Raw genomic sequence first — 16,431 nt, 5'->3', positions numbered from 1 at the left:
TGGTGTAAGGATTCAAAACAAAATGGCTTAGTGCAATGACAGTATGTTTTCTATTAGTGAAAAATGTTTAAATTGGGGATCTGAGGGTGGGCTTCAGGTGTCAGTGAATCTACCAGAATTTATAGGCTGAATTATATTTATACGTGGGCATGTGCACGTATATGCATATGCAATTATTTAATTTTTTTTTTTTTTGAGAAGAAGCGCCATTAGAGTGTCCAAATGGTCCTTCATCCCACATTAGCTTAATCCTCCTAGCTCTGGGTGATTTGTCACCCAGACTCTTGTTTTTTTTTTATGAGACGGAGTTTTGCTCTCGTTGCCCAAACTGGAGTGCAGTGGCGCGATCTTGGCTCACTGCAACCTCTGCCTCCCTAGTTCAGGCAATTCTCCTGCCTCAGCCTCCCGAGTAGCTGGGATTACAGGGGTGCACCACCATGCCTAGCTTATTTTTTGTATTTGTAGTAGAAATGGGGTTTTAGCACATTTGCCAGGTTGATGTCGAACTCCTGACCTCACATGATCCACCCACCTCGGCCTCCCAAAGTGCTGGGATTACAGGCGTGAGCCACCGTGCCCGGCCGAGACTCTGTCTTAAAATAAATAAATAAATAAATAAATAGGAGAGCTGGCTGTTATCTCTGAAAGGCTTTCAAACTCCTGACCTCAAGTGATCCACCCGTGTTGGCCTCACAAAGTGCTGGGATTACAAGCATGAGCCACCATACCTGGCCTTCTTTCTTTCTTTTTTAAAAATATTGCTACGAGTTCTCGCTGTGTGGCCCAGGCTGGTCTCAAACTCCCGGCCTCAAGCGATCCTCCCCCTCAGTCTCCCAAAGTGCTGGGATTATAGGCATGAGCTACTGTGCCTAGACAGAAATGCCTTCATTTCTGACCTACAGTCCTGGGTATTGTATATCCCAGAAAAGGAAATTGGCATGCCTGAGAGAGCAAATGCCAGGGCTCCTGACCCCTACTCTGGTGTTCTTGCATCTATAGCACACAGAACTCTTCCACTTGGCCCTAAAGTCTTTCTTCCTTTTTTTTGAGACAGGGTCTCACTCTGTCACCCAGGTTGGAGTGCAGTGGTGTGATCCTTGCCCACTGTAACCTCTGCCTCCTGGATTCAAGGGATTCTCATGCCTCAGCCTCCCAAGTAGCTGGGACTACAGGCATGCGCCACCACACCTGGCTCTTTTTTTTTTTTTTTTTTTTTTTTTTAGACGGAGTCTTGCTCTGTTGCCCAGGCTGGAGTGCACTGGCACAATCTCCGCTCAGTGCAACCTCTGCCTCCCGGGTTCAAGCAATTCTCATGCCTCAGACTCTTGAGCAGCTGGAATTACAGGCACGCCCCATGACACCCAGCTAATTTTTGTATTTTTAGTACAGACGAGGTTTTACCATGTTGCCCAGGCTGGTCTCGAACTCCTGGCCTCAAGCGATCCACTCGCCTTGGTGTCCCAAAGTGCTGGGATTACAGGCCCGAGCCACTGCGCCCGGCCTATGTTTTGTATTTGTCGTAGAGACAGAGTTTACCATATTGGCCAGGCTGGTCTGGGACTCCTGACCTCAAATGATCCATCCTCCTCAGCTTCCCAAAGTGCTGGGATTACAGACATCAGCCACTGTGCCCAGCCTTCTTTTTTTTTTTTCTGAGACAGGGTCTTGTTGTCCAGGCTGGAGTGCAGTGGCACAATCACAGCCCACTGCAGCCTTGAACTCCTGGGCCCAAGCCATCTTCCCACCTCAGCCTCCCAAGTAGCTGGGACCACAGACATGCACCACTGAGCTGGGATAATTTTTTTTATTTTTATAGACATGGGGTCTTCAGCCTGTTGCCCAGGCTGAAGCTTCCACTCTTGTTGACAGTCTGGTTTCTCCAAAGTTGTTGCCAGGCATGATGAGATGGGTGATCAGCAGGTGCCTACAGATAAATCATTGGGAAGGCAGAGGTAGAGAAATGGCTGATAGACAGTTGATGCATTCTTCCAACCCCCTCCTAGCAAACGGCGTCCTAGTTTGGGGGGACTTGACTGATTGCTCTACCCCAGACTACGTAATTACCATTGCTACAGAAATGAGTGCTTTTATTTTCCACTGATCGTGGTGGTAAGGATGATACAGAGCCTAGCTTGGTGTCTGGTAGGTGTGAAGGCGGCACACTCATGCTCTGTGTGTATGATTGAAAGTGAAAATGTCTCTGAAGGGAGGATAGTTTGACAATATGAATCAGAATTTTAAGGATGAATACCTATTTTATTTTACTTTCAAATATTCAATTAATTTCAGAAAGATTTCTTTTACTTTCAAAATTTCAAGTAGTTCTCATTTGGGGGAAAATTTTTTAAAGAAAACTGTGTTGACACAAAGAATTGACATGTCAAATTAGATTTGTGAATCATGCATCTAATCTAACACTAAACCTAACCAATGATTAAAAATTACAAGCAAGGCTGGGCATTGTGGTTTATTCCTGTAACCCCAGAAGTTTGAGAGGCCGAGGTAGGAGAATCACTTGAGATCAGGAGTTCAAGACCACCCTGGGCAGCAGAGTGAGACCCCATCTCTGCAAATAATTAAAAAATTAGCTACGTGTGGCAGCATGCACATGTAGTCTCAGCTACTTGGGAGGCTAAGGCAGGAAGATCACTTGTGCCCAGGAGTTCAAGGCTGCAGTGAACCATGATCACACCAAAAAAATTAGCTGGGTGTGGTGGTGCACACCTGTAATCCCAGCTAGTTAGTAGGCTAAGGCACAAGAATTGCTTTAACCCGGGAGAGAGAGGTTGCAGTGAGCTGAGATTGCGCCACTGCACTTCAGCCTGGGTGATGAAATGAGACACTGTCTCAAACAAAATAAAGAGTTTTTTTATCCACTCACACATACTCTGAGCTCTTCAAACCATAGAGGTCAGGCTGTGTTAGGTTTTTGTCAACCTAAAATGATCAAAGGCTCAGGATCTAGTTGAAAGAGTTTATTCAAGTGCAAAGTGTGAGGGCACCATCGGGGACACAGACACCAAAGAACAGGGCTCCGTGTTCCAGGTGAAAAGTGAAAGATCTCTTACCCAGGCAAACACGAAAGTGCTGAACAGTTTAATGCAGAAAGATAAGGTAGGGTCTCTATCAGCTACACAGGGCCCATGCTCAAAAAGGCCCCTCACTTGGTTTAGTGTTCTGAGTTCACGATCTTGAGATTCTTTTTCTTTCTGTATTAAATAGAAACGAGATGTTGCTGTGGCTGTGTTGCTCAGGCTGGTCTTGGATTCCTGGGCTCAAGCGATCCTCCCGTCTCCACCTTCCAAAGTGCTGGGATTACAGGCATGGGCCACTGCACCCGGACCATCTTGAAATTCTTTTTTGTTTGTTTGTTTGTTTGTTTTGAGACAGGGTCTTGCTGTCACACAGGCTGGAGTGCAGTGGTGCAACCTTGGCTCACTGCAACCTCCACCTCCTGGGTTCAAGCAATTCCTGTGCCTCAGCATCGTGAGTAGATGGAATTGCAGGTACGCGTCACCACGCCTGGCTAAATTTTGTATTTTTGGTAGAGATGGGGTTTCACCATGTTGGCCAGGCTGGTCTTGAACTCCTGAGCCCAAGTGACCCGCTCGCTTCAGCCTCCCAAAGTGCTGGGATTACAGGTGTGAGCCACTGCACCTGGCCCATGTTGAAATTCTTAATAATTTTTGAACAAGAGGCCTCTTATTGTCCAGGCTGGAGTGCAATGGTGCAATCTTGGCTCACTGCAACCTCCGCCTCCTGGGTTCAAGTGATTCTCCTGCCTCAGTCTCCCAAGTAGCTGGAATTAGAGGCACCTGCCACCATGCCTGGCTAATTTTTGTATTTTTAGTAGAGATGGGGTTTGCCATGTTGGCCCAGCTGGTCTCCAACTCCTGACCTCAAGTGATCTGCCCACCTCAGCTTCCCAAAGTGCTGGGATTATAGGCATGAGCCACCGCGCCCGGACCCCTGCTTCATTTTCTTCATGCCATTTATCACTGTCTGAGAATCCTATTAGCTGCTATATTTGTTTCCTGAAGCTGCCGTAACACGGTACCAGGCACTGGGAGGTTTAAACAACAGAAATTTATTCCGTCACAGTTCTGGAGGCCAGAAGTCTGAGATCGAAGTTAGGAATGACTGCACTCTCCCGTGAGGCTCTAGGGGAGAATGTCTCCTTGCCTCTCCCAGCTTCTGGTGGCCCCAGCACTCCTCGGGGTTCCTCCATTTGTAGATGGGTCAGTCCCATCTGGGCCTCCGCCTGCACATGGGCTTCTCCTCCCATGTCTGTCTGTGTCCAAATTACCCTCACATATGTATATGGTTTTTTTTCATATTTATTTATTTATTTTTTCAGACAGGGTCTTGTTCTTTTGCCCAGGCTGGAGTGCAGGGGTGCTATCATGGCTCACTGCAGCCTCAACCTCACAGGCTCAAGCTATCCTCCCACCTCAGCCTCCCAAGTAGCTGGGACCACAGGTACATGCCACCACACCCAGCTAATTTTTTAATTTTTTGTAGAGACAGGGTTTTACCATGTTGCCCAGGCTGGCCTCGAACTGTTGGGCTCAAGTGGTCCTCCCACCTCAGCCTCCCAAAGTGCTGAGATTACAGGCATGAGCCACCGCACCCGGCCTCCTCCTTTTATAAAGGGATTCATCAGTCAGTGAATTTAAGGCCCACCGAATCCCGTATAACCTCATCTTACCTTGATTATATCTATAAAGACTTTATTTTCCAATAAGGTCACTGGGGGTTAGGACTTGAGCATATCTTTTTGGGGGACACAATTCTACCCATTCCAAATGTTAATTCGTTTATTTAATTTATCTTTTAAAAATCTTTTTTCCTGCCCCACTAGGATATAAGCTCCATGGAGGCCAACTTGGTCCTTTTTCCCTGGTCTAGCTCCAGTGTCAAGGGCAGTGTTTGAGACAAAAAAGTTGTTCAAAACCAGTTCATTGTGCCAGGCACAGTGGTTCACGCCTGTAATCCCAACACTTTGGGAGGCTGAGGCGGGTGGATCACGAGGTCAGGAGCTTGAGACCAGCCTGACCAACATGGTGAAACCCCATGTCTTCTAAAAATACAAAAATTAGCCTGGCGTGGTGGCGCACACCTGTAGTCCCAGCTACTCAGGAGGCTGAGGCAGGAGAATTGCTTGAACCCAGGAGGCAGAGGTTGCAGTAAGCTGAGATTGCGCCACTGCACTCTAGCCTGGGCGACGGAGCGAGACTCCGTGTCAGAAAAGAAAAAAACAAAAAAAGAATTTTAAACTCTGACTCAAATATCGAGATGAACGTTCTGGCATCGACACATGTCCAGCACTACTCTCACCTCCACAGTTTGGGACGAGTGCCCTAGAAAACAGCAGTGACCTTGTAAAAACCCTGGAAGAAAAGCTTCACCTAGGGAGTGTCACAAAGTTTCAGCCAGAACAAAAAATAGCTTGTAGCAGTCAATGCATTATTATTAGCCTTTCATGAGCAAGCATTGGTCACAGAGATTTTGTGTTTGAAAATGGCAAAATGTGCCTGTATCCAAAAGAAATGAAACCTGCAGAGAGGTTTTATGTCTGCACTTGATCAGTATTAATATGGAAAAAATAATAAACTTCTTTTTACATGTCACATTCTGGTTGACTGCAGGGATCCCAGAAACATTGCTATTAACACAATTCTTACAAGTGTTGGCCTCTCCACTGAGCCCCACCCATAGTGAAGTGCCATTATCTGCTCTTTTCTTCTCCTGAGATTCTTCACATTACGGCTCAAAGCGCTGATCTGCCAATCTCATCAACAGGCTGGATGCAGTTCAGAACAGAGGAAGTAGCTATTTAATTGGTCACAGTTCTCAACTAGCACCACTCAAGTTTAATAACATTTATACTATCTCCAGTTCTTTTTTTAAAATTAAAATGAATTTTTTTTTGAGACAGAGTCTTGCTGTGTTGTTCAGGCTGGAATGCAGTGGCACGATCTCAGCTCACTACAGCATCTGTCTCCTGGGCTCAAGCCGTCCTCCCATCTCAGCCTCCCAAATAGCTGGGACTACAGGCATGCACCACCATACCAAGGTAATTTTTGTATTTTTGGTAGAGACAGGGTTTCGGCATGTTGCCCATGCTGGTCTTGAACTCCTGAGATCAAGCAGTCCTCCTGCTTTGGCCTCCCGAAGTACTGGGATTACAAGAATGAGCCATGGCCTCCGGCCTCCAGTTCTTGTGAGGACATTGGAATATAACTGTTTTTTTGTTTGTTTTTCCTTCTGGGGCTTGGGGGATTTCTCTGGTGAAACCACCTTGAAATACAGAAGGCAGCAGAACCTGGAGATTTTGAAAACAGACGTGGTTCAGAACCCTCTTCATGTCCTTTACTAGGTGTGTGACCTTGGGCAAGACACTGAACCACTATGAACCTCAGTCTCCTCATTTGTAAAATGAGAACTAATATTTGCTTGTCAGTTTAAGCTAGGGATTAAATGAGATATTATAAGTGAAGTTCCTAGTCTAGTGTTTGTAAAGGGATCAAGCCATTTTTTATTTTTGATTTAGGGGTGGGCCTGGAGGAAGTGAGGGTGAGGATATTACTGCTTTGAATGTTGTTTGGAATCGATTCATTAGAATTATGCAAGTTGAGCTGGCATTGCAGTTTACTCTTTGTTTTAAACCTCTTCAGCAAATACAAGGAGCATGAAAAAAGGCAGTAAGAGGTATATTTGGAATAATACGGAATTGCAAAATGGTAGCTATTTCTTGCCTTTCATGTCGTTTAGTGTCCCAGGGTCTGGGACTTAAGTGCCTCAGGAAGGACTCTAATGTGTCTTGGGTGTAGATACTTTCTCCCTCCATACCTCCTATACTTCTACCAGATAATTCACTTTATGTTTTTACTTTTTATTTATTTATTTTTGAGACTGAGTCTCACTCTGTCGCCCAGGCTGGAGTGCAGTGGTGCGATCTCGGCTCACAGCAACTTCCACCTTTTTGGTTCAAGCAATTTTCCTACCTGAGCCTCTCAAGTAGCCAGGACTACAGGTGCATGCCACCATGCCTGGCTAATTTTTGTATTAACTACAGGCATGAGCCACCATGACTGGCCTCGTGATAATTAACTTTAGTATTAAAGTTATAAATGGATAACCAAAGTGCATATTAAAACTTCTTAAAAGTAGCATTGGTGATTACTGCAAATTATTGACGCTGTGGAGTGTAGCGTTAATGTGATACCCTACCTTGTTTTAGCCTGATTGACTGTCACTTAGCTGAGAGAGCCAGACAGACTCCGTTTTCGTTTCTTCACTTGCAGCCCCTTATCCTCCTCCCTTAAGGACATAACTGGTACAAGCTGACTCCAAGCACATCCAGGCATCCAGGAATGCACTTACTGATAAGATACTGAGGCAAGCTGTACCAGCAGCTCCTGGGAACTCGCTCGGTTGATGGTACCCAAAGCCCCTGCATTTATCTCTTTGTGATAGTTTAAGCCCCTGCACCTGGAACTGTTTATTTTTCTGTAACTGTTTCTGTAACCATTTATCTTTTAACTTTTTGCCTGTTCTGCTTCTGTGAAATTGCTTCAGCTAGGCTCCCCCTCCCCTTTTTAAACCAAGATATAAAAGGAAATCTAGCCCCTTCTTCGAGGCCGACAGAGTTTTTGAGCTCTAGCCGTCTCTCGGTCGCCGGCAGTAAAGGACTCCTGAATTAGTCTCAGAGTGTGGCGTTTCTCTATAACTCACTCGGTTACGACATTAAGACTATGATCCAATGCCAGCTCCCACCCTTACTGGCTGTGTGTCAAGGGTCCAGTCACTCTACCTCTCTGAGCTGCAATGTGCTCATCTGTAAGACAGGAATCATAATAAGATCCACCCCCTAATTAGATGAGTTTGCATGTGAGAAGTACCTAGAAGAGTATCTGACATGGAATGGGCACGTTGCAAATGTAAGCCCTCATTTTGGCTAAGGCTTTTCCCATTGCTATCGAAAAGTCTTTTGTGCCTCTTGAGTATGTTTTTCCACGATCACTTATTTTGCTTACTGTTCATCTGGATGGAAATTTTAGACGCAAACAAGGGGGGCAGTAGTCTAAACACATCCCTCAAAAATCAGAAACTGGAACTGAGTTTGCAATAGGCAATTTTCTTGACTTTTGCCATAAGCACCATCGGATAGAATCGTTACGGAATAGAATCATGACTTGAGAGAAATTTAATCTTTTGGGGTGTGGGAGCTACAACCTTAGACATTTCTTTGGATGTGAGGAGTGAGATTGATACCACGGTCAGGTCCCTGAGCCCAAGCTAAGCCATCGTATCCCCTGTGACCTGCACGTATATATCCAGATGGCCTGAAGCAACTGAAGAGCCACAAAAGAAGTGAAAATAGCCTTAACTGATGACATTCCACCATTGTGATTTGTTCCTGCCCCACCCTAACTGATACACATATTCTCCCCCGCCCTTAAGAAGGTACTTTGTAATATTCTCCCCGCCCTTAAGAATATACTTTGTACGCCTATCCTAAACCTAAAGAACTAGTTATAATCCCACCAGCCTTTGCTGACTCCATTTTGGACTCAGCCCACCTGCACCCAGGTGAAATAAACAGCCTTGTTGCTCACACAAAGCCTGTTTGATGGACTCTCTTCACACGGACGCGTGTGACAGTCACCTCTATGGAGGATGTTTGCTTCACCGCTTTACTGCACACAAAATGGCACCAGAGATTGCTATATTTCTTTTTAAAAAATAGAGTCTACTTGGTCAAGAATGCTTTTGCTTTTTCATCTCTTAGGGCTCATTTTGGAGCTGAATTAAATGTTTTAAATGAGGTCAGGCATGGTGGCTCACGCCTGCAATCCTAGCACTTTGGGAGGCTGAGGAGGGCAGATCACTTGAGGTCAGGAGTTCAAGACCAGCCTGGCCAACATGGTGAAACCTTGTCTCTACTAAAAATACAAAAATTAGCCAGGCGTGTTGGCATATGCCTGTAATCCCAGCTACCGGGAAGGCTGAGGCAAGAGAATTGCTTGAACCTGGGAGGCAGGGGTTGCAGTGGGCCAAGATCGAGCCACTGCACTCCACCCTGGGCAACAGAGCAAGACTCTGATTTAAAAAAAAAATGTTTTAAATTAATGAAGCCCCCGTGAAACTCAGATCCCAGAAATGTGTCCTGTCATCGTCCTTGCCTTCTGAGTCACTCACTTTTGCTTTACCATTCTGGGAAAGGGCTACATTTTCCAAAGTATATTTGTATATTTTTAAAATTTTTTTATTTTTTATTTTTGTCTCTTTACTTTTTTTCTAAAGCACATCTGTAGGGCTCTAGTCCTAGGGATCTGTGTAGTGCAGTGGTCCATAGAGCTTGGAAAACACTGGGTGAAACTCAGCTAAGCTGACTTCTGTAATTAACAAGTTTACTCATGTAAATATTCAGTTAATTTATTCATTTATTGTAGGGTCCAGTCCTACGGGGCTTATTGGGTGTTCTCCCCGTGTGTGGAGACGAGAGATGATAAGAAATAAAGACACCAGACAAAGAAGTAAAGAGAAAAACAGCTGGGCCTGGGGGACCACTACCACCAAGACGCAGAGACCAGTAGTGGCTCCAAATGGCTGGGCGGGCTGATATTTATTCTATATAAGACAAGGGGCAGGGTAAGGAGGGTGAGTTGTCCGAGTGATTGATAAGGTCAAGCAAGTCACATGATCATGGGACAGGGGGCCCTTCCCTTTTAGGTAGCTGAAGCAGAGAGAGAAGGCAGCATACATCTGCATTTTCTTCTATGCACTTATCAGAAAGATCAAAGACTTTAAGACTTTCACTGTTTCTTCTACTGCTATCTTCTAAGAACTTCAAAGAGGAACCAGGAGTACAGGAGGAACATGAAAGTGGACAGGGAGCATGACCACTGAAGCACAGCACCACAGGGAGGGGTTTAGGCCTCCAGATGACTGTGGGCAGGCCTGGATAATATCCAACCTCCCACAAGAAGGTGGTGGAGCAGAGTGTTCCCTGAGTCCTCCAAGTAAAGCGAGACTCCCTTTCATGGTCTGCTAAGTCACGGGTGCTTTCCCAGGCACTGGCATTACCGCTTGACCAAGGAGCCCTCAAGCGGCCCTTATGCAGGCGTGACAGAGGGCTCACCTCTTGCCTTCTTGGTCACTTCTCACAATGTCTCTTCAGCACCTGACCCTATCCCCGCTGGTTATTCCTTTGTTATATCAGTAATTAAACAAACAGTAATATTAAAGGCTAATGATTAATAATGGTTATACTAATGATTGATAATGTCCATGATCATCTCTATATCTAATTTCTATTATAACTATTCTAATTGTAACTATTTTCTTCATTATACTGAAACAGTTTGTGCCTTCAGTCTCTTGCCTCGGCACCTGGGTAATCCTCTGCCCACAATTTATCACGTTCTTATTGAGTGTTCCTCAGCATTATGCTAGGAAGGGGGATACTGTAGTGAGTTAGACTTCACTCCTCATTTCCCAGAGCTTCAAATCGAGTAATGATGACTGCAGGCCTTCTTGGAGTCTTAATTAACTGAGTATACCTAATTTGCTCAAAAAGGAATTGGGTGTCCTGCATTTTCTGGCCTGAAAACCTTTTTAAATAAAACTACTTTTTGAGTTCATTATTCCTTGGAACACATCTTCGGGGAATTCTTGAGTTAGGCTGTAGTTGCTAACACTGAGGTTACCATAACCATTACTATCCCTTGTGTCCTCAGAGGCCTGGTGTTCATTGAGTGTTTACCTTGTGGCCTTCGCATTTGTCATTGTATTTATTATTTATTTTTATATTTTGAGATGGAATCTTGCTCTGTCACCCAGGCTGGACTGTAGTAGCACGATTTCGGCTCACTGCAACATCCATCTCCTGGGTTCAAGCAATTCTTGTGCCTCAGCCTCCTGAGTAGCTAGGATTACAGGGACCCGCCACCATGCCCAGCTAATTTTTAAATTTTTAGTAGAGACAGGGTTTCAACACGTTGGCCAGGCTGGTCTCAAACTCCTGACCTCAGGTGATCCTCCCGCCTCAGCCTCTCAAAGTGCTGGGATTACAGGCATGAGCCACCGGGCCCAGCCTTGTATTTATTTTTATTATTTATTAATTTATTATTTCTATTTTTAGAGACAAGGGCTTCCTCTGTTGCCCGGGCTAGAGTGCAGTGAATGATCATAGCTCACTGTAACCTTGAGCTCCTGGCTCAGGCGATCCTCCCGCCTCAGTCTCCTGTGTAGCTGGGATTACAGGTGCACCACCACACTTGGCTAATTTTTTTTGTTGTTGTTTTCTGTAGAGATAGGGTCTTGCTATGTAGCTCAGGCTGGTCTAAAACTCCTGGGCTCACACAGTCCTCCTGCCTCAGCCTCCCAAAGGGCTGGGATTACAGGCGTGCATCACTGTGCCTGGCTGGATCACTGTGTTTCATTCTTACACTGATGCTGATGTCAATACTTTTTAAAAATCCCTTCTTGATACATGAGAAAATGGAGGCATAGAGGAGTGACGTAGTCTGCCCAAGATCACCTACTTGGGAAGTGGCAGAGCCCAGATTTGGATCCTGCTAGAGCCTGCAGAACCCCTTTAACCCAATGGTTTGCCACTGAGGGTGATTTTGCTCCCACGGGTCAGCTGGCAATGTCAGGAGACATTTTTGCTTGTCACTAGTTGAGATGGAGGTGCATTGGCATCTTGTGAGTAGAAACCAAGGACGCTGCTAAACACCCTAACATGCACAGAACAACCTCCCACAACACAGAATTACCAGCCCCAAATGTCAACAGTTCCAAGGTTGAGAAACCCTGCTTCAGCTAATCATTACACGGGTTTTAGTTCTATGAGTACCCCACAATTCATTAGGGAGACAGGACAAAGGCATACATGAATTCTAGTACAAGGAAGAGGCATGCTACAGAAAGGGTATAAATCATCCTTATGGCCCTCATTAGACCTTTTAATTTCCTTATAAGCCCTTTATTGCCACGGCTAATCCTTGCTAACCCTGCTCAGGGCTGTTTTCAGCAGAGGAAAGTTACCGAGCCCGTCCCCGCCCCCCGCCCCGCTTGACGTCTGGCGCCTCCTGGTGGCCTCAGGAGAAACTCCATCTTCCTCAGATACCCCACAAAGTCCTTCCCCTTCACCTGCCCCAACTCCAACCTCAGCCGCATCTCCCTGGGGCCCCTCGGCATCCTGATATAGTCACTGCCTCCCGTTGGTGGTCACCTACTGGCCGCAGCCCGGGACCTCTCACAGGAGCTGCCCTCTCTGCCTGTGAGTTTCTCCATTCTTTTTTTTTTTTCCCAGCTTTTGCACTGGGTACACTTTTTTTTTTTAAACTCTCCACTATGTTAATGAGGACCATTTTTCTTCTGCTTTGCAAACCCTGCTCACCCCTTCAGACGATGCTTAAAGACCCTCTCCTCCTGGACATCTTTCTGATTCTCCCAGAAAAAGTGAATGGCAGGGTCTTTTGTGCTTTCAGGCCTGGGATTTATGGTTAGGTTATAACTTACTAATTTATGTCTCTTTGTTCGTCCATCTGTGTGTCTGTCCCTCCACCTGTGGCTTCTAAGCCTGACTACAAAATGTCCTGGAGGGATTGCTAAAAACAAAGAAAGAAACAAGCAAGCAAACGATCTCCATCACTACAGGCATTTGCGTATATTTTTACATTCCCAGGGGGTTCTGAAGTACCCTAACATCTGAAAACAGCTCTGTATTGTTGCTCTTCCTTGTTCAGATCTGGCTGAAATGTCACCTCCTAAAAGAAGTGTTCCCTGACCTTTTGTAGTATTAATGACAAGGTTGGAAGAGGTGGCTCGAGGATTTATCACTGGAGGCTTTGAATGCCAGGTTAGGCAAGACAACGGGACATGGCTCTGTGGGCTTCTTAGGGTTTTTACCAGAGGGAGGGAGGTGATTCCTGGTGAGTGTTGGCAGTGTTAGTCCAGCAGGTTGGTGCAAGATGGGTGCAGGAGAGGTGAGGGCTAGATGTGGGGAGTTCCTACTAAGAGTTCTTGTAGCAACTTGGGAATGAGGAAACCGGGGCTTGGGCTGGCTTGAAGGCTGTGAGCATGGAGCTTCGGGGAGAGGAGAGAAGGGGACAATGTCAACACGTCTTAGACAGGTCCAGGCACTGATTAGCTATGGGGATGGCTGTGATGAATGAGTCAGACATGGCACTCAGAGTTCTAGCCTTGGCACCAGAAGGCTGGTGCTACTGCCAGAGGTAGAAAAGGCAGGGGAGAGCTCCTCTCCTGAGGGTAGATGATGGATCAACACTGGGACCCACTGAGTTTGAGATCCTAAGAGGATCATCTAAGAGTGGACTGAGAGGAAGGTCAAAAGAGGGGAAACTAGAGAGGAATCCCTGGAAACACACGATGCCTCATTTCCTGAGTTCAAGAAATAGCTCTTCCGGCATCTCCTACGTGCAGGCCCCCACGCCAAGTGTGCGGGTGAAGTGATGGATTAAACGGGTGTGATTCTTGCCCTCATGGAACTTCCCCTGTAGTGAGGGAGAGAGAGGAAAGAAATGTACCAAATATTTTCCAAAATTAATAATGGCTGGGCGCAGTGGCTCACACCTGTAATCCCAGCACTTTGGAAGGCGGAGGTGGGAGGATTACTTGAGGCCAGGAGTTTGAGACCAGCCTGGGCAACATAGACCTCGCTAACAATAAAAAATATTGGCCGGGCGTGGTGGCTCATGCCTGTAATCCTAGCACTTTGGGAGGGTGAGGCAGGCGGATTGCCTGAGCTCAGGAGTTCAAGACCAACCTGGGCAACATGGTGAAACCCCACCTCTACTAAAATACAAAAAATTAGCCGGGCTTGGCGGCGTGCGCCTGTAGTCCCAGCTACTTGGGAGGCTGAGGCAGGAGAATTGCTTGAACCCGGGAGGCGGAGGTTGCAGTGAGCTGAGATTGCATTGCTGTACTCTAGCCTGGGTGACAGAGCGAGACTCCGTCTCAAAAAAAAAAAAAAAAAAAAAGCCAGGCATGGTGGTCTGTGTCTGCAGGCTAAGGTGGGAGGATTGCTTGAATCCAGGAGGCAGAGGTTGCAGTGAGCCGAGATTGTGCCACTGCACTCCAGCCTGGGTAAGCGAGACTCTGTGTCAAAAATAAATAAATAAAATAAAATGTTAGCCAGGTGTGGTGTCATGCACCTGTAGTCATGAGTCTCCTGAGGTGGGAAAATCCCTTGAGCCCAGGGGTTCGAGGCTGCAGTGAGCCATGATTGTGCCACTGCACTCGAGCCTGGGTGACATAGCGAGATCCTATTTCTTTTTTGAGACAGAGTCTCAGTCTGTCACCTAGGCTGCAGTGCAGTGGCACGATCTTGGCTCACTGCAACCTCTGCCTCCTGGGTTTGAGAGATTCTCCTGCCCTAGCCTTCCGAGTAGCTGGGATCACAGGCACCTGCCATCATGCCTGGCTAATTTTTGTATTTTTAGTACAGATGGGGTTTCACCATGTTGGCCAGTCTGGTCTCAAACTCCTGACTTCAAGTGATCCTCCTACTTTGACCTCCCAAAGTGCTGGGATTACAGGAGTGAGCTGGGATTACAGGAGTGAGCCACCACACCTGGCAAGACCCTGTCTTAAAACAATAATAATAATAATAATAATAATAATTGCTCTGAAAGAAACCAAGATAAAGAAAAAAAATGTATCTTAAGTTCCGTTCCCTAGAGGCAGTCTGAGATGGCAACTGTTGTGCCAGTGATTTTTTGAGGGGCTGCTCTCAGTGAAAGGAAAGTCAGAGAAGCCAGGTAGTTAATCCTTTAGAGAAGGTTTCAGGTATGAGCCCTAAGTAGCTGATACCTACAGCAGTTGGGGGTGGGTCCACTGGCCTGGTGACAAGGATCTGAGTGGGACATTGACAGTATCTCCTCCCTTGTGGTAAGGGAAGGCCTGAGGAGGTGGCATTGAAGCTGAGACCTGAAGGATGGGAAGGAGAGAAAACCTGAGGCACGTGGTTGATGGACAGAAGGCAGTGCTCTGCATTCCAAGTGGAGGGGGTGGCACCGCACTAGTCCTGATGTGGAAGCAAGCTTGATGTATTCGATATTAAATTTTAAATGAAATTATTTAGGTATTAGACATTACATTTTAAAGGAAATTATTTAATTTAGGTATTAGACATTAAATTTTAAATGAAATTATTTAATTTAGTACATTAAATAATTTACTCTTTATATTTTAATTATTTAAAATGAAATTTAATATTAAAGAAAGCCAGGGTGGCTGGGATTTCTGAACCAAGGGAAGCGTAACCCAACATGAGATCAGAGCATCGCCAGGGACTTGTAAACATCGTGCAGAGCCTGGATTTTATGCTAAGGGCAACGAGAAACCTTTGAAGAGGTTTTAGGCGAGCAGCTGCCGAGATCTAATTTATGTTTCAAGATCATTCTGGCTGCTGTGCAGAAAATAGAGTAGGGTGAGGCAGTCATGCAAACCACAGTGCTAAACACTTCACAGGCATTCACGCAAATCCCACGGTGATCCTCGTTTTCCAAGGGGTAACTGAGACCCAGCGAGGGTAAGCTATCTGCCCAAAGACACACAGCTAACAAGGCAGCAGAACTAGGATTAAAAAAAAAAAAAATTCATTTTTAGAGACAGGATCTCACTCTGTCACCCAGGCTGAAGTGCAGTGGTGGGACCATAGCTCACTGCAGCCTTGAATTCCTGGGCTCAAACCATCCTTCCACCTCAGCCTCCTGAGAAGCCAGGACTACAGGCGAGGCCACCATGCCGTGCTAATTTCATTTACATTTTTTCATAGACACAGGGGTCTCGCTATGTTCCCAGGCTCGTATCAAACTCCTGGGCTCAAGTGATCCTCCTGCCTCAGCCTCCCAAGTAGTTAGGACCACGGCTGTCACCATGCCCGGCTAATTTCATTTTAATGTTTTGTAGAGATGGGGTCTCGCAGAGATAGTTAGGGTTAGGGTTAGGTTAGGGTTAGGGTCTCGCAGCAAGACCCATCTCAACGAAAAATTTAAATGAAATTAGCAGGGCCAATTGGCCTCCTGGATTGCTTAAGCCCAGGATTTTTTGTATTTAAAAGAAATTTAATTTAATGAAATTTAAAGGCAAACAATTTAAAGGTTGGTGTCGAACTCTTGGGCTCAAGCAATCCTGCCTCAACTTCCTAAAGTGCTGAGATTATAGGCTGAGCCACTGCACCTGGCCAGGAGCTGGGAACGGATTGCAGGCCACCGAAGCTGCAGTCTGAGCCCCCACTGTAGGAGCTCACCGCCTCCTTCAGGGTCCGCCTGCTCCCCTTCAAGGCCAGCAACGTTCTGCACAGGGCAAGAGCTCCATAAATGCTCTTTGGGCGGAAAGGTGTGGGAGTGAGAGAATCTGGACAGGAAGGGCCCACAATGGAGTGGGGAAGGC

The 16,431-nt window shown here is 46.2% G+C and overlaps 1 annotated feature.

Annotated features, from left to right (window-relative positions):
• Window positions 9,770-9,819: an enhancer, noted in NCBI's record as "active region_10377". NCBI's record gives its function as "activates an Ori minimal core promoter by ATAC-STARR-seq in GM12878 lymphoblastoid cells {active_cell/tissue: GM12878}" and the evidence as "EXISTENCE:reporter gene assay evidence [ECO:0000049][PMID:35858748]".

This window comes from Homo sapiens, chromosome 16 (assembly GCF_000001405.40).
Source record: "Homo sapiens chromosome 16, GRCh38.p14 Primary Assembly".
Lineage (NCBI taxonomy): Eukaryota > Metazoa > Chordata > Mammalia > Primates > Hominidae > Homo > Homo sapiens.
This window is presented reverse-complemented; position numbering and strand designations above follow the sequence as displayed.